At 45.6% G+C, this 22939-nt stretch overlaps 1 protein-coding gene across 8 annotated transcripts in view, besides 1 other annotated feature; it reads left to right on the top strand.

Moving 5' to 3' along the window:
* Nucleotides 1-22939, top strand: part of AGBL4 (AGBL carboxypeptidase 4) — a 1501444-nt gene that overhangs the window by 1306885 nt on the left and 171620 nt on the right. The window lies entirely within an intron of this gene.
* Nucleotides 7815-8171: a silencer, noted in NCBI's record as "fragment chr1:49174571-49174927 (GRCh37/hg19 assembly coordinates)". NCBI's record gives its function as "represses an EF-1alpha promoter that drives an FKBP-Casp9 reporter gene in an ReSE screen in HepG2 liver carcinoma cells {active_cell/tissue: HepG2}" and the evidence as "EXISTENCE:reporter gene assay evidence [ECO:0000049][PMID:32094911]".

Here is a 22939-nt window from a genome sequence, read left to right as displayed (position 1 = left end):
CTTCTGTGTAGCTGAAATACAGACGTGGCCTGAAGCTGAAAGTCAGAAGCGGGTCACTGTTCCCTCACAGGCTCTTGAGAGGATTAAATCGGGGATCGGTTGAAGGCACTTTTTGAACTGTAAAATATAGGAATGTGAGTTGGTGCTACGCACTTCTGTGCCCCTTCTTACCTGTCTTCCTGACTAGATTGTGACTTTTTATTGAAGGCAGGGACAGTTCCAAATTCATCTCTTGACCCCAGCCCAAGCTCAGGAAATGCCAGCTCTAGGCCAGAATCCCAGAGCTAACCAGAGTTGCTATCAGTACCTTCGCCCCAAGCCTTCCACTGACCCGGGACTGACCCACCGCCTTGCTCCTGAGGACCATTTGAATTAAGGAGAAACAACTTATCCCAGGTTCCCACCCCTTGTGGACACATAAAATTGATTGCTCAGGTACTTACAAATGTCGAGAAGAAGCCTGTTCCTTCAGCCCCATGGGCACGATGAATGACATAATAAGAATTCATCCCTCCCAGTCTCTCCCCTATGGCTCTTAAGCAAGGCACACTCTTGAGCTGGATGGATGGGGGCAGGGGCAAATGCAATGTAAGTCACCTAACTGGTCAATAAACTCCCTGAACTGAGTCCCCACAAAGCCTTTACTTGATCTTTCTTTGGCCCTATGATATAGTTGTCATCATTCCCATTATGAAGATGTGGACGCTGAGGCCAGTGGGGTAATAATGGGCAGAGCCAGGATTCAAATCCAAGTCTGTTGGATTCCAAAACTTCATGGACTGGGAAGTCAGAGATCTCCCCCTCCTCAACCGCAAGAAACCATGTGTGGCAACATGATGCGTTTCCCTCCTCGTAATCCAGTCAGTGCAGGGACTGAAGTAGGATAATCATGTTTCAGAGCCAACCAGAGTGGCTGCCACTCCAAGCTTCCTTTGTATTTTAAATATGTAGTCTCTAATTAGAGTTTGCTTTAATTGCAAGATTTCCATATGCCCCGTGACTGCTGTGCACTCTATCTGGGGATAAACATGTCCATCAAGTTAGAAGCAAATCATGGCTGTTGCCTTGGCCCTGTTATCCCGTTGGCTTGCTCCACTGCAGTTCCTCAAGGGATGTAGCTCACCCTTCCCCCTGTGAAAATGCTCTGGGGCCCACATTTTAATCAAAAGCATACCTGCCTCTAGGAAAAAAAGAGTAGAGGCACAGCTCAAAAGTGATTAAATTTAATAACCAAAAGACCAGAAAAGTCTGCTTTGCAATGCATAATTTCACCAGATATTTATTTATTTCGTCATGTGGCCACATTCTATATGCTATATTTATTTAAAATGCCATTTATTTTAACAGCAGCAATAAAGGAAACACATTTTTTTCCCTCCCCACTGTGTTAAAGGCATTTGTGGTTATTAAATTACTCTTGAGTAGAGGAGTGCCTGTCTCCAAATTTACTCTGAAGTATTTCAATAAAATGATCTCAAATGTTTATTCACTCAGCAAATACTCACCTGAAGCCATTCTGGGCTAGGTGCTGCACTAGCACCAGGATAATGGGGTAGAGCAGAGAAAGTCCCTCTTGCCTCCCAAGAGCTCGTGGGCACAGGGCAGGGGGAAGTGACAGATGCATCCCAACGCATAGCACAGGGCCTGGCACCCAGGGACTAGTCAAGCAGTTTTTGTTCAAGAAATGAATGAATGAATGATTGAAGGGATGGGTGTTACTGGGCTGGATTGAAGCCATGTGGGACACTCAGGGACATCAAGAAGGACTGGTTGGTTCTCCTTGAGTGTCCCAGGGGAGGCAACTGCTGTGCTGATTCTCAGGTGAGAGCTGGGCCCGAGGAGGGGTATGGGGTGGCATTACAGGCAGAGGGAGCAGTATGAGGCAAGGTATGTGCTTATCAAGTCCTCTCCCTGCAGCAGTCCTCAGGCTACCCCCACTTCCTTCAGTTCTTTGTTTCTGTCTTCCTCTTCAGAAAGGTTGTCCTTGTCCACATTGTCTGAACCGGCACCCACCCCACCTCAGGGTACTCTCTCGTCCTTTTCCTCTGCTTTATTTGCTTTATTTTCCTCTCATCCTGTTGTGTTTATCTGAATACTGTCTCATTCCATCTTCAGCTAAACTGTAAGTTTCCTAAGAGCAAGGCCTAGAAAATTGTCTAGCATATCATAGGGGCTGAAAAGTTGAATCGATGAATGAGCGACTAAAAAATCTCAGTGTCCCTTCAGCAATATGAGAGCTTCAGTGTAGGGTCTGGAGCATGGGTTCCAAGCAGGGCCTGCTGGAGGACCTGCACAGGTGGTCGGGGCTAGGACCTGCTGGGGCACACAGGCCTCATAGGCTAGCTAAGGAGCTGGACTTCACTTTGAGGTGGCAACAAGGAGTCATTGAAGAGTGTTGAGCCAGGAAGCGGCATGGTCAGATTGGTGTTTCAGAAGGACCACTCTGGTGGAATCGTAGATGATGAATGGGAAGGGGTGAGACTGGAGTTAGGAAGAACAGAAACGAGGGGGCTTAATAGTCCGGCAAGAAATGTGGAAGGCTGGAGCAAAGGCAGGGGCCGAGAGATTGAAGGGGTGGATGGGACAGATGAAAGCAGAATTCTATATTTGGGTTAAAACCAGCATGGTTTGCTGATTAGAAGTAGAAGGTGAGAAAAGGAAGACCCAGTGATGACTCCACGGTTTGTGGCTTGGCTGAGTGGGTGGACAGTGATATCATTGGCTGGGAGGGGACTGAAGATTTGTCCTCCCTGGGGTGGCACTGTGGAGGGGCCATGGAGAAATATTTGTTCTGATAGGAATCCTTGGCCAAACATGAGTTACTTTGAAAGCAACATCCAAATGTAGTTCTCATGTTTTGGGGCCCCCATTGAGCCCTAGAAATACAGTTGGCAGGATTGTCTCTCAAAGTAAGACAGGTGATGGCCTATGAAGTGAGGGCCTCTCAGGGTCTGTCCATCTCCACTGACGACTCATGCCAACACATCCAGCTTTCGACCTTCTTTCTCTAAAGATCATGTTATAGTAATGAGATGTACTCAAGATTTAAATTCAGAATAAATACACATGAGTCGTACTTCCATTATGAGCAAGCCTTGGGTAGGGGCATTTGGTGTCCTTAGGCCTCAGTTTCCTCAGCTGTAAAATGGGAAGAATGAAGATATCTATTGCACAGTCTTATGTTGCAGATCCAGTTGTCAAAGGGATGTAAGTAAACTCAGTAAACTGAAAAGGGCTATTCAGCTGACAGATTCCAGGAAACATTATCCCAGATGAGAGGGAATAGCAGGCAGGCCCTGATGCTAAGACTAAGTGCTACTGGCCAAGCAGAGAGGGGAGCAGCTCTGCACCTAGCCTCTTCCTTAGGGTCCTCCTTAGAGCCTTGAATTGGTCAAGCTGTAGTTGATGCTCTGTCTTCCTCAAATGTCCACATGATCCAGGCTCTGCAGACTGTTCCAGGGAGGGCTGAGTGCCCCGTACGCAGAGGACTGCTAGGGCTCATTCTCTGGAAAACTGCCCTCACAGAACTCACCATACCCTTCATCCTGTGACCCCAATGGGCCCTAACCTCTCCTCTCCAGTGCCAGAGCTGCTCTGTGCTTCCCACTGCGGACGCAGCACCCCCACCCCAACCTTTTCCACCACTAATGAACTCCGCAACCTCAGCTGCTTTACACAGCATTGCTTCATAGTCCTCCTGACTGAAACCTGGCTGTCCCCTAAGAATGGCTCTCCCTTCTCCCACCCTCCCCATCTCTCTCTATTCTAGGCCAGCTCCTGGGTTACTTCTCAGCCCAGGAACCATCTTTCTGGAAACTCCCTGAGTCCAGGTTGATCACTGTGTGCCTTCTCTGGGTTGCCATCAATCAGGGCACTGCTCACTTTGCTGAATTCTCTTTGTTTCCCTCCCTGTCTCACCTACCAGACAAGAACTGCTCAAGAGCAGGGACTGTGTCTTGCTCACCATGAGTCTTGTGCCAGCACAGAGCCCAGCACTGTGTGGGCATCAGTTGACGGTACCAAGCATCCCTGTCTAGTGGATGCTCAGCTGCTGTCTCTCCAAAGTAACAGGATGCTGCACCCCTGGGAGTGACAAGCAGTTCTTAGACAGGTACTGGTACATGGGCAGCACTGACTTCCCTCCAGGGTTTCCTGGGTGGCCGCCATCTCCCTCATAGCTGCTGTTTTGGTGTCTCTCATGTGCACTCCTGTTTTAACCCCATTCACGGGGGCCACAACTATGTAATTGGATTGAGCAGACACTGACAAGGTCAATTTGATAATTTCATTAATCTTTTATCAAACATGAGCCCTGAGCTCCAGCCAGGCTCATCTGTGTGCCATCCCCAGAACGTGCCTGGTGTATTCCCATCTCACACGCCTCCTCTAGGCCAGGTGTGACTGTCCAGTGATGCCAACAGCTACTGGATGCTTCCTGGGTGCTAGGCCTGCAGCTGAGCAAGTCCCTTAACCCTGCAGACCACACTGTGGGGGTAAGGAGCTGATATATATAAAGCACACAGAACAGCATCCGGCCTGTGTTTAGAGCTCTATGTTATTATTATCACTATTATTATTATTACTTTTAATTCACAACAACATTGAGAGGTAAAGGCCTCATTTTGCTAAGGATGAAACTGAGTGCCAGAGAGGGGAAATGATATGCTCAGGGTCCTACCCGTGGGGAAAAAAGCAGCAAAGAGTGGGGCAAGCAGGTTAGAAAAGGGCCAGGTCCTGAAGAGCCTGTCTCCCTCCTCCCAGCGTGGTGTTGAGGATTGGAGGGAAGGATGGTTGAGTGTGACCAGCACAGTGCCTGGCCCACAGTACTTCTCAACACAGGTTTGTGGAACAGAAGAAGGAAGGGATATGTGTGGAAAGCCCACACACACTAAAGCTTGCTTCAGAGCCTCAGGAAAGGGAATGGGCCCCTTCCTGGGGGGAGAAGGGGAGCCTTGAGTTGGATTGGAGCTTTTAGGATTCAGAGAGAAAGGAGGAAGCAGAAAAGCAAAGAAGAGGAGGGAGTAGCACAGATGGGGCCAGAGCGAGTATGACTGAGAAAAGGAGGTGGTTCAGGAAAAGGAGGTTGGAGAACAAAATGGGAGCCACATCCTCAAGAGCCTTGGGTTGCTGTGGAAAGGTTTCCAGGAAGGAGGATGTACTCCAGTTTGCATTTTAGAAAGTTCATTCTGGCTTCAGCGTGGAGGATTGGAACAGGACAGGCTGGAAGCAAGAAGATTGTTAGGGTGCTGCTTCTGGGGTCCAGGCAAGAGGAAATAAGGACTCTCAGAGAAATTATGGGGAAAGGGAAGGGAGAGAGGGAGAAATTATGGGGAAAGGGAAGGGAGAGAGGGAGTGAGAGAGGGGTGACAGGAATGGAGGGGCAAGGGCACAGCTTGCTTTGGAGCTCGGTGGGCTGGGGAGAGGGTTGGTTCCATACTCGACCCAGGCAGGCAACACCGTGCAGATCCAGCCCCGGGGGTGAGCAGCAATTGCTGGGATAAGCCCATCCGTGTGCTCTTTGGGCCTGTTAATTAGCAGGAACAGACAGAATGTCAAATGGGACTTTCCTGACATAGCGGTGCCTGGTGCTTATCTCCCTGATTGTATGCAGACAAGTCACATTTAACACCAAAGGTTAATGACTTCCCTGGTAAGACAAGGAATGCTGGGACCCACAAACTCACACAGATGGGAACTGACAGGCTCACCCCAAAAGCATAAGAGGCCATTAAAGCACTTGTTCAGTTGGTAGTAGCATCACTCAAGGCCCAAGCTAGTCTCACCTCCAATATGTAGCATTTTCCAGCATCTCTGAACCTCAGGGCTCTCCTCCTTTGCTGATCCCTGCTCCTCCACAGCCCCCCAAGAGTGCAGCCCAGCCTTTGTCATCCTCCAGTCAGTAGACTCTGTGGATGCTGACCATGGGCTGGGCTGGAGCTGGACCCTGGGACCTGGAGGTGGATCACCTGCGGTCAGGCCCTGGAGGACCTCCAGTCAAGGGTGATCAGGGGTGAGCAGTAGGGGCAGACAGACAGACAAGGATGCACAGTGCCAGGAGTGAGGCGTGTCCCAAAGAGGAGAGATGGAGAAATCCATGTGAGAGGTTTGTCACTGGAGGCTTCCTAGGGGAGGTAATGTCTGAGCTGGATCTTAACGGATGTGCAGAAGCTCCATAGGTAGGCTGGTGGGGTGGCGAATTCCAGCCATCTTTCAAAGAGCTGCCTTATGTCCTAATAATGGTTTTATATCTGGTTGTAAAATCTGTAATGGGGTAGGGAGAACCCAGTCTTACTCATCTTTAGGTCTTCCCAGCGCAGGGCCTATAGGCAAGGTATGAAAGCATGTTGAACAGGAAGGCTCCTGGTTTCCCTGCCTCCACACTGAAAGAAAAGAGGGACAGAGGGGAGCAGGGATGGAGAATGAATGGAGGTTCCCCTAACAAGGACCCTTAAATCCAGTCTAACCAGTCTTTCTCCTGCTGGTAAACCTTCCATGGCTCCCTGCTGTACTAGGACAAAGCCTGGCCTCTTAGCTCAACTGGTATCCAATCTGGCCTTTGTATCTGGCATGTGATCACCTGTGAGCCTTCCCTCTCATGCCCGCCTTCCTCTCCACAAGCAAACCACCCCACGCTCTGGCTCCTGCATTTCTTTGGGCAGCCCCAGACAGTTCCCACCTTTAGGCTTTTCTCTCTGCTTCTTTCTCAGCTGGGAAAGTTAGTTTCCTCCAGTGAATACATCCTCCATGGCACTGTAAGTACAGTAAGAAGCCCTTCCCAGGGGAACTTCAGAGCTCAGAGTCCCACACAACCCCACTGTGCCTCAGGTAAACCTCAGTGCCCTCCCTGTTGATGTGAATGAGTGTTCATATTTCTCCTCCCTCCAAGGCAGGGGAACCGCATTTCTTCATAGTTGCAACTGCTGCTTGTGAGAGGCCCTGTGGTGACAGTGAAAGTTCAGTCTTTCCAGTCGGATTGCCACTGTTGGAGACTTGAATGCTGTCTTCATCACCCTAGGAGCTATTTGACCTTGGCAACATTATTTAATCTCTCTGTGCCTCTGGTTCCTCATCCGTAAAGTGGGTCTGTGTACAACAGGACCTATTTCATGGGGTTCTTGCAAAGATTCAATTGGTTAATTATTCAAAGCTCTTAAAATAATGCCTGGCAGGCCGGGCATGGTGGCTCACGCCTGTAATCCCAGCACTTTGGGAGGCCAAGGTGGGTGGATCACGAGGTCAGGAGATCGAGACCATCCCGGCTAACACGGTGAAACCCCGTCTCTACTAAAAATACAAAAAAATTAGCCAGGCGTGGTGGCGGGTGCCTGTAGTCCCAGATACTCAGGAGGCTGAGGCCAGAGAATGGCGTGAACCTGGAAGGCAGACCTTGCAGTGAGCTGAGATCATGCCACTGCACTCCAGCCTGGGTGACAGAGCAAGATTCCATCTCAAAATAATAATAATAATAATAATAATAATAATAATGCCTGGCAAATAGTAAGTGCTCACTAAAGGTTAGCTGTTGCTATTTAATTTGAAAAGTAAAGTGCAATGCAAGAATATTTGGGGGGTGGGGAAGCCCAAAGTTATAAAGAAATATCACTGCCTCTCAAATAACTATTTAGATTAGTGTATGTGTTTTTGGTTTTCTATTCGGTGTGTAGGTGTGTAGCATATCTGTTGTATACACACACTCACAAGATATGTACACATAAATATGACATTCTCTTGAGTAGCCTGCTTTTCTCACTTAACAACATATACAAACACTTTGGTAAACAAGTAGTATTTTTATCTGTCTTTGTAGCCACAAAGCCTAGCTCAGAGCCTAGTACAAGAATAGGCATTTCGTTGAACTTCGTGAAAGGAAAGGCGGAGGTGAAGTGGCAGTGAAGCAGGCTTGGAGCTGCACTCCAGAGAGTCACTGATAGCATAGTAGCTATCACTGTGGAGGGGAACCTTATCCAAGTAAGAGCCCTTCCTTTTAGTGATAGAGACCCAGAGGCCGGAGAGGAGAAGGGACTTCCATGAGGCCACTCGGCCAGTCAGTGAGAAGGAGATAAGAGTCCAGCCAGGCCTGTGTCTTTGTCCTCAGGCAATATGTGGCCATCCTTCCCCTCTTCCCTTCCAACTTTCTCACCCTGGTCCTGCCTGACTTTGCAGCCTCCCCAGGACTGAGTATGCAGGAAAGGCTGGAGCAGCCATCCCCTGATTGGGTCCCAGACAGGGAGGCCAAGGGAGGCAGAGGGAGGTGGCCAGTGGGGAAAAGTCACTGGCACCAGAGAGACTTATTTTCTGTGTCACTAGTGGTGGCAGGTTACCTCTCAGAGGCTATCGTATTTTGGAGGCTTTTCTTCCTGAAAGAAGGGAATGAGCTTTAGGCTCAGCCCTTCCATTCTGTCCCACACTTGGTAGCCCAGATAATCCCTTGAAAACAAGGCTGTAAGCATGACCTCCCTGCCTAGAAGATTTCAGTAGGTGCCATTGCTGGCAGAATGAAGTGTTTTAGAGCAGGGATCTTCTCTAGGGCCCTTCCTAGAAACCCACCCAACCATGGCTCTCCCTGTCATCCCACTGTCCTTCTCACTGTGCCTCTGGGCCCTTGAATATGCTGCCCTCTGCCTGAGATGCCCTCCCACATCCCTGCCTTGTCTCAGAATCATTGTGGTTCATCAAGCCCCAACGGCTCCTCTCATTCACAATGGTCAATCCCTCTTCAGGGTCCCTGCAGTCCCTGACACAACCCTTCCAGCCCCAGCTCTCCTTCATTGCTCACATCACCTGCCCTGGGTGTTATCTGGCCCATGCACAGAGAGGCACCTGAGGTAGCAGGCTGAGCAGAGGGCAACTCTTTGAGCCTGGGTGTGGGCTGGAAGATCCAGGCAGTTTTCCCACCAAAGGTAACCCTCACTCTGGATTCGGTTGTGAAAGAACACAAATGTGTGATTTTTATCCAAGACCCTGGAAAATCCCATGTTACCTTGGAAAATCCTTTCACCTCTCTCTAAGCCTCAGTTTCCACATCTGAAAAATGGCAACAATACTGCCCACATCACGGGGTTAAATGAGTGAATGTGTAGGAAACACTTAAGACATGGAAAGTGCCCACCCAATGTTCTTTTCCTCCCCTGCCCCTTTCCATTCAGAGAGCATCACTCTCAGAGTCACAAAGTAAAATATTTATAGGGGCCAAAAATGTGGCCCCAAACTCAAATGAGACAACAGAAATCACCCCGGTCAGGCATGTGAGAACCTGATAGACAGCTTGGCATGGCCCTTACTTAAACACCAGCTGAAGTGTGTCACTGCCAGAGTCTGGTGTGGACTTCATGACCTGAGACCTCACATTGGCAGTTCCCATCAGCCGCTGTAGAGAAACACCCAATTCCCAGCCCATGGAGCTTGGGCTTATGTAATGATAGACTTCACCACAAAGCACACTGAGCCTCTGGGAGTTTTTCTGAAGATTAGTCTTTGTCACTGGTGGTTTTATAATTCAAGAGGCTATTTTGACAGAGCACTGGGATGCCCAAGAGCAGCCCAGAAATTCTTTCTGGAAAATGATGCCCAAGGCATGTGTTGATTAGCCCAAGCACATGGCAGAGTGTCAATGGAAGCTCTCTCTTCTCATCCCTTGGCAATGCTGTTATGGCTCTGAGTGGGGCTCTGAGCTGCCATTTCCCACAATTGCCCAGTGCTGGTTAATTTCTTCTTACTAGGCCAAGACTTAAGTCTTTTTCTTTTCTGTTTTTGTTGTTGTTGTTGTTGTTGTTTTGGATATAGGGTCTCACTCTGTCACCCAGGCTGGAGTGCAGTGGCATGATCTTAGCTCACTGCAACCTCCGCCTCCTGGGCTCAAGCGACCCTCCCACCTCAGCCTCCCAAGTATCTGGGACTAGAGGCACTCTCCATCATGCCCAGCTAATTTTTGTATTTTTAGTAAAGATGGGGTTTCACCATGTTACCCAGGCTGGTCTCGAACTCCCGGACTCAAGCCATCCATCTGCCTCAGCCTCCCAAAGTGCTGGGATTACAGGCATGGGCCACCACTCCCAGCCAAGTTAACTCTTTAGGCAAGTTCAGGACAGGAAGGAGAGCCTGGGAGATGACTGATTTCCTAGCTGGGGTGCTTCACTCAAGAACGACCTCAGGAACATGACCAGATGGCTCAAAGTTTTCTCTTTAAGTGACTATTCCGGATGTCAGAGGCTGACCCTCAGAGCATAGACAGCTTGGATACCATATCCAGGTAACAGCTCTGGATTCAGATGTGGGAACCCCAGATAGTCACTTCATTTATTAATGCACTCATCATTTAGTCATTGATGCATTCATTTATTTAACAAAAATTTATGGAGTTAGCTCTTGGATTTTGTCGTCAAATTTACTATTTTTCTGTTTTCTAACTTTTTTTATTTACATTTTTACTACTTCTTTCCTACTGCTTTCCACAGGTTTCTTTTTGGTTCTTTTTCAAATTATGTACTTGCAGCTTTCCATTAGTTTGATAAATTGTTTTCTTATTTTCATTATTTTCTAAATATTTTGTAGTTGTATTTTTTTATTCTTTGACATAATATTTTTTAGAAAAGTGATTTCAATTTCCATGTGGCAGTTAGCTGCAGCTATTCCTGTTGTTGAAACACTGTTCCTTATTTCTGGTTTTAGCAGTTATATTTTGAGAATGAAAATTGTATATCTTTTTATCATTTGGAATTTACCAAATTCATTTATGTTTGTAGAGTAGAAATTGTTACATGTCATTAAGTAAACTTTATTATTTTTCAAATCTTTTTCCTTACTTAAGTTTCCTTTTGGCATTTTTCTTCATCTTTTAAAATATCTAATACATATAAAATAATATAGGTCCATAAGTTATAAAGCATAATCATATAATGAACACTTGCAAACTCACTACCCAACCCCAGAATTAGAACATTACCAACATATTTCTCAATGCCCTATCACTTTGTTTACCCTGGAGTTAAGCACATCATCAGTTTTGTGTTGCTCTTTTTTTGCTTTTTAAATATACTTTTTAATTGCCTAAGTAGGAATGTCTGAAACTGGAAACAACCAAATTCACTTTTTATTGTTCTCTATGTATGCCATGTAACCTCCTGCTACAATTTCTGTTGCTTTCTCCCTGAATTTCTAATATTTATTGCTTTAAATTGGAATGTTTTGTTGGGTGCAATAGGTTCATCACTGTTCAATCTTCAATATAAATTTTGCTTTTTATCAACTTAACACCATCAATCTCTTCCTTGTTAAATAATTTTGCCTCAAATTCTGCTTTGTGATTAACATTGTCACCTCTGCTTTCTATTTAATTGGGTGTGCCTAAAACATTTTGGAAGTTTAATTTTTAACATTACTGTGTAATTTTGCCTGAGATGCAGAAGAAGGTAATGTTTAAGAAGTTGTGCTCTGAGATCAGACTGGATTTAAATCTCATTTCTACTATAAGTTAGCTGTTTGACCTGGGCAAGTTACTTAGCCCCCTATGCTGCAGTTGCCAAACCTGAGACCCAAGGGTAATGATATTTCTGCCTCATATGTTTATTGGGAGAATTAGATGAGACAATGTATGTGAAATGCTTAGTACAATGCAATACACATGGCAAGTATGCAATAAATGTTAACAATTTTTATGAGATTTATCTCTTGTAAGTTGCACATAATTTAATGTTTTCATTTTAGCTTGGGAATTTTTGTCCCCTAATAGAATAATTCAGACTGTTTACCATCATTTCATATCTGCTGTTTGACTTTGTCACCCAATTGTATACTTTCTCTTTTTTATACATTTTTTGCTCTTAATGTTTTCTCTATTTTTTTAATAAACTGTTTTTTATTTTTAAAATTAATATAGAAGTTTAAAGTACTCTTTGTAAATTCATTCCCTAATGCATGCTTTAAAATGTGTGACATACAGTTATAGTCGTGTGCCACATAATGATGTTTTGGTCAAAGATGGACTGTGTGTACAACAGTGGTCCCATAAGATTATAATGGAGCTGAAAAATTCCCATCGCCTAGTGACAGCGCAGACATTGCTATATTGTAGTAGAAAGCATTACTCACATGATTGCAGTGATGCTGGTGTAAATAGAGCTACTGTGCTGCCGGTCATATAAAAGTACAGCACATACAATCATGCGCAGGACGTCATAGTTGATAATGATAATGAATGACTGTGGGATTGGCTTATGTACTTCCTACACTATACTTTTAATTATTATTTTGGAGGATACTCCTTCTTATACAAAGAAGTTAACTATAAAAACACCCTCAGGCAGGTCCTTCAGGAGGTATTCCAGAAGGCATTGTTATCATAGGAAATGACAGCTCCATGCCTGTTATTGCCCCTGAAGACCTTCCCGTGTCACAAGATGTGGAGGTAGAGGACAGTGATATTGTTGATCCTGACCTTGCGTGGGCCTAGGCTAATGTGTGTGTTCCTGTCTTAGTTTTTAACAAAAATGTTTAAAGAGTAAAAAAAACTTAACAATTTTAAACATGGAAAAAAGCTTATAGAATAAGGATATAAAGAAAGTATTTTTGTACAGGAGTACAATGTGTTTGTATTTTAAGCTAAGTGTTATTAAGAGTCAAAAAGTTAAAAAAATTAAAAGTTTATAAAGTAAAAAAGTCATAGTAAACTGAGGTTAATTTATTATTGAAAAAGAAAAATATTTTTAACAAATTGATTGTAGCCTAAGTGAACAGTGTTTCTAAAGTCTACACTCGTGCACAGTAATGTTCAAGGCCTTCACATTCGCTCACCACCGCCAGTTCTTCAAGCTCTGTTTTATACTGTAAGTGCCCTATAGAGGTATACAATTTTAAATCTTTATACTATATTTTACCGTACCTTTTCTGTTTAAACATGTCTAGATAGATCACTTTTTGGCCTTTTGGCAAGATCAAGTGTAGATATGCTTAGATACATAAATACTTTCCATTGAGTTACAATTTCCCGTAGTACTCAGTACAGTACCATGCTGTACAGGTTCATAGCCTAGGAGCCATAGGTACACCATACAGCTTAGGTATATAGTAGTGTATACCATCTAGGTTTGTGTAAGTACACTCTGTGCTGTTCGTACAACCATGCAATTGCCTAATGAGGCATTTCCCAGAACATATCCCCATCCTTTAGCAATGCATGGGTGTGTATCTATATTTCTCTAATTATCAGTTAACAACAAAGCAATAATTTTTTACTTCTCTTTATACAACATAGAATTTTATATGTTTTTATTTTTCTTGATATCCCCTTCAATGCTTGATAACTCTTTTTTTCTGATTCTAGTGCTAAGGAAAATTCAGAGATGGGTTTTTGTTTCTTAATTGCCCACCTGTTTTCCTACCTGTGTGTTCACATAACCCTTGAGGTTTATTTTGCCAAGATCTAGCTAACTATGTCTTTTTGGTTATTATTATTAACATTGCCTGGAACACTGATCTCTTTTCGGCTTTTGACTCAAGTAGATACTTGCTTTGTATCTGAAAGTCCTTTTTCCCTATTATGTATTTGTCACTTTTCTTTTTTATTTTATACCCCATCCCTACCAGGAATATTGATAATTCGAATCTAGACTTATTCTTTTCTTTTGTATCTATCATCTCCTTTCTTATCTTCATCTATGACCTCTTTTTCTGCATTCGTTGAGAATTGCTCAAATTTGTCCTCATCACTGTTTCAGTTTTCTGCAGTGTCAATTCTGTTTTTTCTCACTGCCATGGGAATTTTAATGTGGTATTTTATTTTGTCCCGACTTGCCGTATTGTCTTACTTTCAGCTTCCTTTGCATCTCTGCCTTTATCTTATCCTCCTTCCTTCTCTTCTTAGAAGCCAAGTCTTCTTGCATCTCTTGAAGAACACCAAGCAGATGGTCTCTGAAGCATTCTCGATTTTCTTTCAACTTTCTCTTTCTCTAAGTTTTTAGGGCAATGTTTCCTTTTTGCTGTAGTGTATCTCTTTAAAGGCCCATTTTTTGTTTCTTGGAGGTTTTATTTTGTTTTGCTTAATCATCTTTGAATAGAGCAGAGTCTCTGCAGACCTGGCATTTGCAAAAAGGAAGCTTAAAAGTAAAGCACTGTTAACCCCTCACTGTGGGATGTGCATCTCCAGATTTAGACCTGAAATTCAAGTCAAGGTGCCCTGCCCCAGTTCTGTTTGTGGGCTGATTTTGCCTGCCTGAAGTTGGTTTTACTCCAGGGTCAACTTCTAGATTTTCTGACTACGGAATCAAATGCAATTTGTACTTCCTCCTTGCCCAGAATAGTACCTAAAAGACCCTCCTTCCCTGCAGCATGCACTACCTCCAATGCACTTTCTATTTCATCCCTGTTTACCAGGCTTTTCTTTAAGTGTCCAGGTGTTCCTGGATGCCAGCCTATCCCCTACTTCCTGTTGTGCTGCATGCTTAGAGTTGCCATTTCTGAGTGAATGTTAAAAAAGAAGAGGCCAGGCACGGTGGCTCATGCCTGTAATCCCAGGTTTTTGCTTGGGAGGCCAAGGCGGTTGGTTCATTTGAGGTCAGGAGTTCGAGACCAGCATGGCCAACATGGTGGAACCTTGTCTTTACTAAAAATATAAAAATTAGCTAGGCGTAGTTGTGGGCACCTGTAATCCCAGCTACTTGGGAGGCTGAGGCAGGAGAATTGCTTGAGCCTGGGAGGTGGAGGTTGCAGTGAGCAGAGATCGTGTCATTGCACTCCAGCCTGGGCAACAGAGCAAGACTGACTCAAAAAACAAAAAACAAAACAAAACAAAAAAAAACAAAGAAGAAGAAGAGGGGAACATAGGGCCAGGGAGAGGGAGGGCAGTGCAGGACTCAGGCTCTGGCTGGCTCAGAAAGCAGAAGGCGGGTCGTCTAAACCGGTGGACTCCTGCTTTCCTGCTCAATGCATCCAAGGTTTAGGGACAGGACATGCAGGAAGTAAAGTGTTTTCACACAGTTTGGCATGGGGGTGAATAGTCAGAGGTGGAGTGCTGAAATTACCCACCCCCAAATTAGACAATTCATATGACTATTGTCATTTTGTGTTATTTTATGTCTTCATGAAATTTTTAATGGAAAGATGGGAGATGCCATGTTAAATATTACTAGTCAGCTACTATACCAATAGTATAACATTCAATGAAGGGTAATTTTATGTGCTTCATTCGTTCATTAACTCATTCATTCATTCATTTATGTCTATTTCCTCTAGTAGACTGAGAGTTCAGAATTATGGATTTTTATTGTTTTATTCAACAATAAAACCCAACAAAGGAACTGGCATCCGGTGGGTGCTCAAAAACTATTTGGTGAATGCACAAAACACACCCTCAGTATGAATCAAGTTATTAATCATCACCCAGTGCTGTTAATCATCATCCAGTGTATTATACATTAACAATTTTAAAGCATTTTAATGTCTATTATCTAACTTGATGCTAAAAACAACCTGGGTTGGATGTGGCTGTGTGTGCCTGTAGCTCCAGTTACTCAGAGGCTGAGGCTGCAGTGCGCCATGATGGCACCTGTGAACAGCCACTGCACTCCAGCCTGGGAAATACAATGAGATCTATCTCTAAAAAAGAAAAGAAAAAAAAAGGAAAAGAAAAAGAAAAAAAAGCCAATCTGGTATTAGGTAGAACATGTATTATTCTTCCCAGTTTATAGATGAAGAAACTGAGAACCAAAATGAGGCAGACACCTGCCTATGGTCACACAGAGTCACAGATAGGACCAGGAAGCAGTGTCCCCACCCCACAGGGTGGGTGTTCTCCTGGATCAGCTGCCTCTTCCCAGGTCTGAATGTGTGGATGAAAAGAGAAGCAAGAGAGGTCTGAAGGGGCAGGAGAAGGCTTCCTGGAAGACTAAGGCTGGCTCTTAAAGGGGAGGGACTGAGGAGGAGCATCCCAAGCAGGAGGCAGCTTGAGCAAAGATGCAGGTGTGGCCAGAGGGTCATGGGGAGATGGACCAAAGGCTCTTTCCCACCACTCCTGGGCTTGGGCATTAGTGCAAACAGAAAAATCCCCCAGAATGTTCACGCTGCACTTCAGCCAAGAGTTTTGATCTCAGCTTATCTCTGATGCTACAAGCCCTTTCACTGGCACTGTGTTCTCGTTGGGGTGGGAGGAGAAGGGAAAGAACAAAGATAGTGGAGTCAGACAAACCTGGCTTTGAAGCCTGACTCCTCCATTTACTGCAAGACCTGCCATGGACAGTATTCATCACCTCCCTGAGACTCAGTTTCCTGCCTTGTATAAATGGGATAATAATTACAGACTTGCTGACTTTTCTGGGGATTAGATGAGGTAGTGTATATGAGGTCTGTGGCACATGGTGGGTGATCAAAACTTCTTAGCTCCCTTCCTTTCCTTCTTGGCTCTTTTGTGGGTAGATAAGAGATGGCCCTGCACTTGGGATGCTGAAATAATCTTGGAACACAGCAGAGGGACATGCAGATAGTGTGGCAGCCAGTTGAGACCACACATGCCCTCCTACCTGTCAGGTCCACACACTGCCTTTCTCAGAAGGGGACATCATTTTACATTTCCCTCCTCTGAATGTTGAGGCTAATTTCCTCTTAAGTGAAGCCCTTGATAGCTGAGCCTCCACATATGGCAGACTTCCCTTGTTTGCTGTCAGAACAAAGCCCCATGCTCCATGCAAATGCTGTGCATTTCAATTGTGCTGTGCAGCCCTCTCCTTGCTAACCATCCTGGAAGAAGAGCACAAGGAGCATCATGGACAGGATACTGTCAGAGGGAGCCTGGATGTGCTGGATAACTTGCTCCAGCTTCAGGAACTGCCCTACAGACATTGCCCCAAATAGCTGGATTCCTGGGAGCCAAAATGGAGGGAACCTATGAGCAATGTGCAGGCATTTGATAGACTCTATTGTGTGTGAAATTATCTGCTGGGCACCTTCTAGGTGGAGGCAAGGGGAAGGGAAAGGGGCACAGAGGAGTTAATAGTGTCATTAACATCCGGGTGCAGTGGCTCATGCCTATGATCCCAGCACTTTGGGAGGCCAAGGCAGGTGAATTGCTTGATCCAAGGAGTTTGAGTTTGAGACCAGCCTGAGCAACGTAGTGAGACTCTGTCTCTAAATATATATATATAATGTATATTTATATATGTATATGTATGTATGTATATAAAATAAAAATAGTATCATGAGAGTGCATGGTTTGGGTTATCCCAGAGCAGACCCTGAGACAAGACCCTGAATGCAAGTAATTTTTTTGGAAAATGAGAAAAACCAGGAGGAAATGGGAAATAAGATAGAAACGGGAAGGAAGCCAATCAAGGGTAAGTTACTGAAAACTTCACCCTTTGTGGACAACTGAGGTTCAATGCTGCTCACTCTGGGAGACAGTGTAGAATATGCCTTGCAATTATCCCCAACAAAAGGTAAGAGAGCCAGGGTAATTTATTCACAAATTCTCATCAGTCATTGATTGAGAGCTGTTGGATTGGGGAAGAAGGTGTAAATTCTTTGGCACCTTTGTCTTGCCATGTATATGGACAGAGTGGATTCCAATGGCCAGAGAGAGGCATCAGGTACAGATGCTGGTAGTTGAACATCAGGTTGCATGAGGTGGGCTGATGGAATATGGGCATGACAGCAAACAGTATCTTGTACAGAGAAAGACACAGACATAAATGTAAAAATGATAATATTCAAACGATAATTAATTGAGTGCCTACTATGTGCCAAGAATTTTATATTCTTACAGCATCGCCACAAAGTAGGCATTATTGTCCCTATTTTACAGAGAACAAAACTCAGGGGCTAAAAGGGTCTGTATCATGCCTAAGACCACAGAGCATTAAGCAACCTAGCCAGTAGGCAAACCCTTGCTGCCTGACTCCAAAGCCTGGGTCCTATGCAGAGCTCCCCCTGAGACAGGATAGAAATGAAAGCTGAGCCCCACATGCTGGGACAATGTCTGGCTGTAGGACCAGAATTATGGATGTCCTCCTCCTAGAGGCAGGCATGAGAGACCAGGAAAATCTTTGGATGTAGAGATGCAGCTAGAGAAATATATGGTCCACAGAGGATCCCCAACCTACTAGCACCAATGAGAGTTAAATTGTTTTAAAGATGTGGGGAGGTGATTCCAGCTTCTAAGGGCAGCTAGCAGTTTGGGATCAGCTGGACCTAGGTTTAAACACTGCTCTCCTTCCTATTTTTTTGCTCTGTGACCAGTTATTTAACTTCTCTGGGCCTTAGCATTCTCATCTATAAAATAGGACAACAGCATTACCTCGCCAGGGTGTTGTGAAAATGAAATGATGGTGTACATGTAACGTACCTGTCCCAATGCTGGGCACATAGTAGGTGGGACTTGAGGCCAGGAGACACTGCTCAGTTTCATGCCCTCTTCTTGGGCAAGGTTTGTCTCCTGTATGAGCCTTGGTCTCCCAATTCATCAAATGGAGATAAGAATCTGTGGCCCACAAGTACACAGGGCTGCTGTGAGCTGGGCAGGACTAAAGGACAGAAACATCACAGTGATCCAGCTCCCCATGTGAGCAGTGGAGGAGCTCAGGATGAGGACAAAAGGCACTTGGTTCTGATCTGGTCTCGGCCACCAACATCTCAGGTGGCCTTGGCAGTTTCCTTTTTCTTTGAGTCAAAATGTTGGTGTTGGGTAAGGAGGTCTTTGAAGGCTCTGAGCTATTGGGCTTCTCTCCCACTGTACCGTAGTGACCTTCCTCTTCTCATCTCCCTGCCAGGCCCATGCTCTGGTTTATCACCACCTTTCCCTGTCCACTCCAGCCTCTTTGCTGCTTCTCTATGCTTCCCTGCACCCTGCATCCCACTGATCTTTTCTTGGACTGGCCCCAAGCCTGGTAACCATCCTCAGTGCCCATGGCCTAGCTGAGGTCACCCCCAAACCAAGGCTTAGCTGTGTGTATGGAGGCAGATTTCCCAGAGTGGAGGGTCACCATGGCCTGGGTACAGTGGAGGGAGAACACAGTCCAGAGCCTGGGCTATTCCAGGCTCAGTCCAGCCATGGCCCAGCCTTAGGAGTCATTCCGTGACAGTAGTCATTTGGTAACTGGCCTTGGGGTTTGGTCTGGAATCCGGCTGAGGGATCCAGTTGTGACCAGAGTCAGGCTGGGTGGCTGAGGCTCAGAAGCTGCATATAACGTTTTTTTCTCAAATATTCAGCCACCTTTTCCATAAACCACCAGGAAGTTAGCCTCTTGCATCAACCCAGGTGTCAGGACATTTGCCCAAACTTCTTTAAGTGATTTCAGGCTCCAGATCTAGAGAGGTTTCTGTCACCATTCTTTCTGTATCTTTATTCTGGGTATGTCTCAAGGGCCAGAATTAATGGAGTAGGTGAATGGTTACATAGTGTGATTTCAGGGATACCAAGGAAGTTGCTAGAAACCCGTAATGCTATTTCTATCTTTCTGGTCAGTACTGAAATCTCTCAGCTATAGATCCATTCATCTGGATTAGTTTTTGAAGCACTGGAAAAATCACTGGACCAGAAGTCAGTAGATGGGGACCCAAGTCTCATCTTTGCTTCCTACTTACCATTGTATTACCACACTTCTCTCAGCCTCACTTTACCTATCTGTAAAATGGGAAAGATAATGCCTGCCCTTCAGAATTGTTATCTAGATTAAGTGAGACCTAGAGAGTAGAGCACTGGCACCTGGCAGGGGCTCCATAAACATCCCTTCCTTTCCCTAGCCTTTCTGTAGAAAGAACAAAGTGGATTCTCAGGGCGCCATGCTGGAAGTCACCAGCAGGTGGCAGCACGGGGCATTTTCATTCCTTCCTCTCCTAATGAACCAGGTGGTGCTTTGGTGATGTCCAAAGATGAACCCGGGCCGTGGTAAGCTCCCTGGCCCTTCAGAATAGTAAAGCTTAGACAACCTTCTGTCTTGCTTGGTGAAGAGCAGCTGAATCCTCTACTGGCAGGGGCTGAGTTGGTGACAGCTACAGAATATTACCCAGATATAGAAACATGTCAGCCTCACCCCTGCCCTCAAAGAGTCTGCAGTCTAGGGAGGGAGGCCTGGGTGCATGCAGTAGGCAATAGAGGGGGAGAAGGTGAGCACACAAGCTGTGGGAGTGAGGTGAGGGACACCCACCAGTGCAAAGGGTGTCAGCAAGGGCTTCCTCAGGGAGGAGGGGCCACGGAGAAGGAAGTCAGGGACACCGGGAGGTGGCTAAGATATTTCAAGGGCTACCCTTGATTCTGCGTGTTTGAAGCACAACTACCTCTCATTTTCACTACAGACCAAGCTATCTCTGTAGGCCACATTGCTGTAATTTCTATAAACTCCTCAACTCTCTCACTTTCTCACTCCGGTGATGCCTGATCTCCCAACAGATGCTGAGTGAAGCCCCTCCTGGAAATATTTGCATCTCCTCAGTCCTGTGTCCCGCTTTTCAAGTGAGCAAGCAGTTGGGTATTTCTTCCTGCATTGGTGACCACAGGTGGTGGTAGTAGTGGTGGGGGTGGTTTTATAAAGGAAAAGACATCAGGCAAGGAATCTAAGGCCCCAATAACTGTATTTGAAGCCCTATCCTCCCACTGTCCAGGTATGACCTTGGGCCTCATTTCCCTTTTTGTATGGTAAGGTTGACCTAAAGGTCCTAAGAAAGCTCCTAGTTTTAACATCTAACACCCATAGATCCTTCCAGGTCCTAGAGCCACCTGGCTGAGTGACCTTGGGAAGGTCACCAGCTCGATGATGTGGATCCTTCCAAGCTCAACGTGAGTGACAAGTGTAATAGTGCTTTGGAAAAATCTGTGCGATCACCTGATTGCTCACGTGGCCTCTTGGGGGTAAGTGGAGGCAGGTTCAGATGTGTGTGCATCCCCCACAGACCCTAGCTGGGCACCTGGCAGCTGGCTAATTGAGGGAGAGGACACAGAGAGAGATAAAATATCTCTAATATTTCGAATACCTCCTTTCCCAGCTGTCCTGGGACAGAAGAAGCACCCTGGCTCTGTGGGGCCAGGACAGGGTCAGGGCCAGCGCAGACAGCCTGTAGCATTAGAAGGCGGGCTTCTGCTCCTAATGAGAAGGCCCTTCAACCAGAGATGTTTAAAGATGAATCCAGGTGGCGCTGAACTCCCTGGCCATGCAGGCCAGTGGGTCAAGTGGAGTCCACTCTTGGTGAAGAGTGGGGATGGGGGTGTAGGAGGTTTAGGGGTTGGTGGTGGTCTAGGCTAGTACTTACCAAACCTGGCTGTGCTTAGAAACTAAAAGTCTGTCTTTGCAGCACCTTGGGGATGTGGCTTAAAGTTTGGTATTTTCATAAATGGGGGTGCCTTAAAATGGGTCCACCCACAGAATTTAGCTGTCCTCCTCTGAGTCCCTCTCACTGAGGCCAGTGTTCAAACTCCCATTCCAGCACTGCTCCCCTGTACCAGCCACCTTTCTGACATCTGTGCAAAGCTGTAACGGGCCGGTCCGCTGTCCCAAACTCCCTTCCATTCCGAAATAGAACTGGTTAAAGGGGAGGGGGTGGGGAAAGGTGTAAGTCAGATGCATTTGAAGGAAAGCAGCTTTGAAGTCCTGAGGCCATTGTGTTAATGGCATTACTCAATTTCTGGAAGCAATCCTGATTAAATATTCATTGGCTTTGATTATACTGAAATTAGGGCTAAAGCGTGAAGTCAAATTGAGGGGAATAATGGCAGTGTAAATAATGCATGGCCTCTAAATTGAAAACATCAGCTTGTGCGGCCCCAGCTCTCCCCCAACCCTGCTTGTCACTGTGCCATTTGTTTAGAAGGTGATTAGTCTGATGTGGGCATCTTTCACCAGCTGGGGAACTAGGAACTGGAAGGCTCTCAGGGCTCTGTGTGTCTCTGCAAATGCAGGGGAATTGAAGCAGACACCTTCCAGCAGGGGACTTTCTCCCAGTCAGGAACCTGAAGTTTAGAATCTTGGTAAAGCCCCGTCACAGAGTCCTATATTCTCTGAGTGACACAGTCATGGACTCTGAGAAAAACAGAATCTCGTGCTCTTGAATCTTCCATAGTGTAATCCTTGAACAGAAAAGAGCCAGTAGGGTGGGGAGGAGTGTAACTGGAGAGAGGTTAGAATAACCAAGTGAGATTTATTTAAATTAATGTGGTCAAGAGACAGAAAGGCACATTGGTGATTATAAAATGGTGGGATGAGGGCTGTACAGAGGTGTGTGCAAGAGGCTGCTGTGGGAATTCAAAAAATGACTTTCATTTGCTAGAGGGGGTTATTGGGGGTCGGGCAGCTGAGTCAGAAGAGGAGAGTCAGGAAAGTTTCAAGGGGTCTTGCTAGATGGTGTCTTATCATCCTCTGGACCCCTAATGCCTGGCCCAGGGCCTGGCACAGAGTGGAAGCTGATGGATATTGGTAGGATAAATGGATGAATGAATGCCTAAGCATGATATTAGGGAAAGAGGAAGCAATTCTCCTTGCTCCTAGAGGAAAACTGTTAGTCTCAGAAACATGAAAGGACCATTGCAGGAAACTAGAGCCCCCAGTCACCATGGGCTGACTTTGTGGTGGGCACTGTGCAAAGTACCAGGATTGCATACAGCATCTCATCTTATTTCTTCCAGTCTTATGAGGAAGATAGGATGATTATCCCCATTTTGTGATCAAGAACGGCAATACTTTAAAGAAGTTAATTTGCACACATAGCTAAAGAAGTTAAATTACACACACACCTAGCAAGTAGTGAACTTGGCATCTAAATCCATGATGCTTTTTTTAAAACATTGTCAGTAGTTCTGCATCTCCAGTGATAGTCAGATACAGATATTCATATCCTCTCTCTCAATCCTCACCCATCCTTTCCTACCCACCACCGTTTCTCTGCTGCTGTAGGATTCCTAAGGGGTGAGGTACGCTCGTTTGTGCACCAGGACTAGGAGGACAACTGCCTGTACATGTGTTAGTATATC

This window comes from Homo sapiens, chromosome 1, assembly GCF_000001405.40.
Source record: "Homo sapiens chromosome 1, GRCh38.p14 Primary Assembly".
In the NCBI taxonomy this organism is placed as follows: Eukaryota; Metazoa; Chordata; class Mammalia; order Primates; family Hominidae; genus Homo; species Homo sapiens.
The sequence above is the reverse complement of the archived record's forward strand: the minus strand, read 5'-3'. Positions and strand labels throughout refer to the sequence as shown.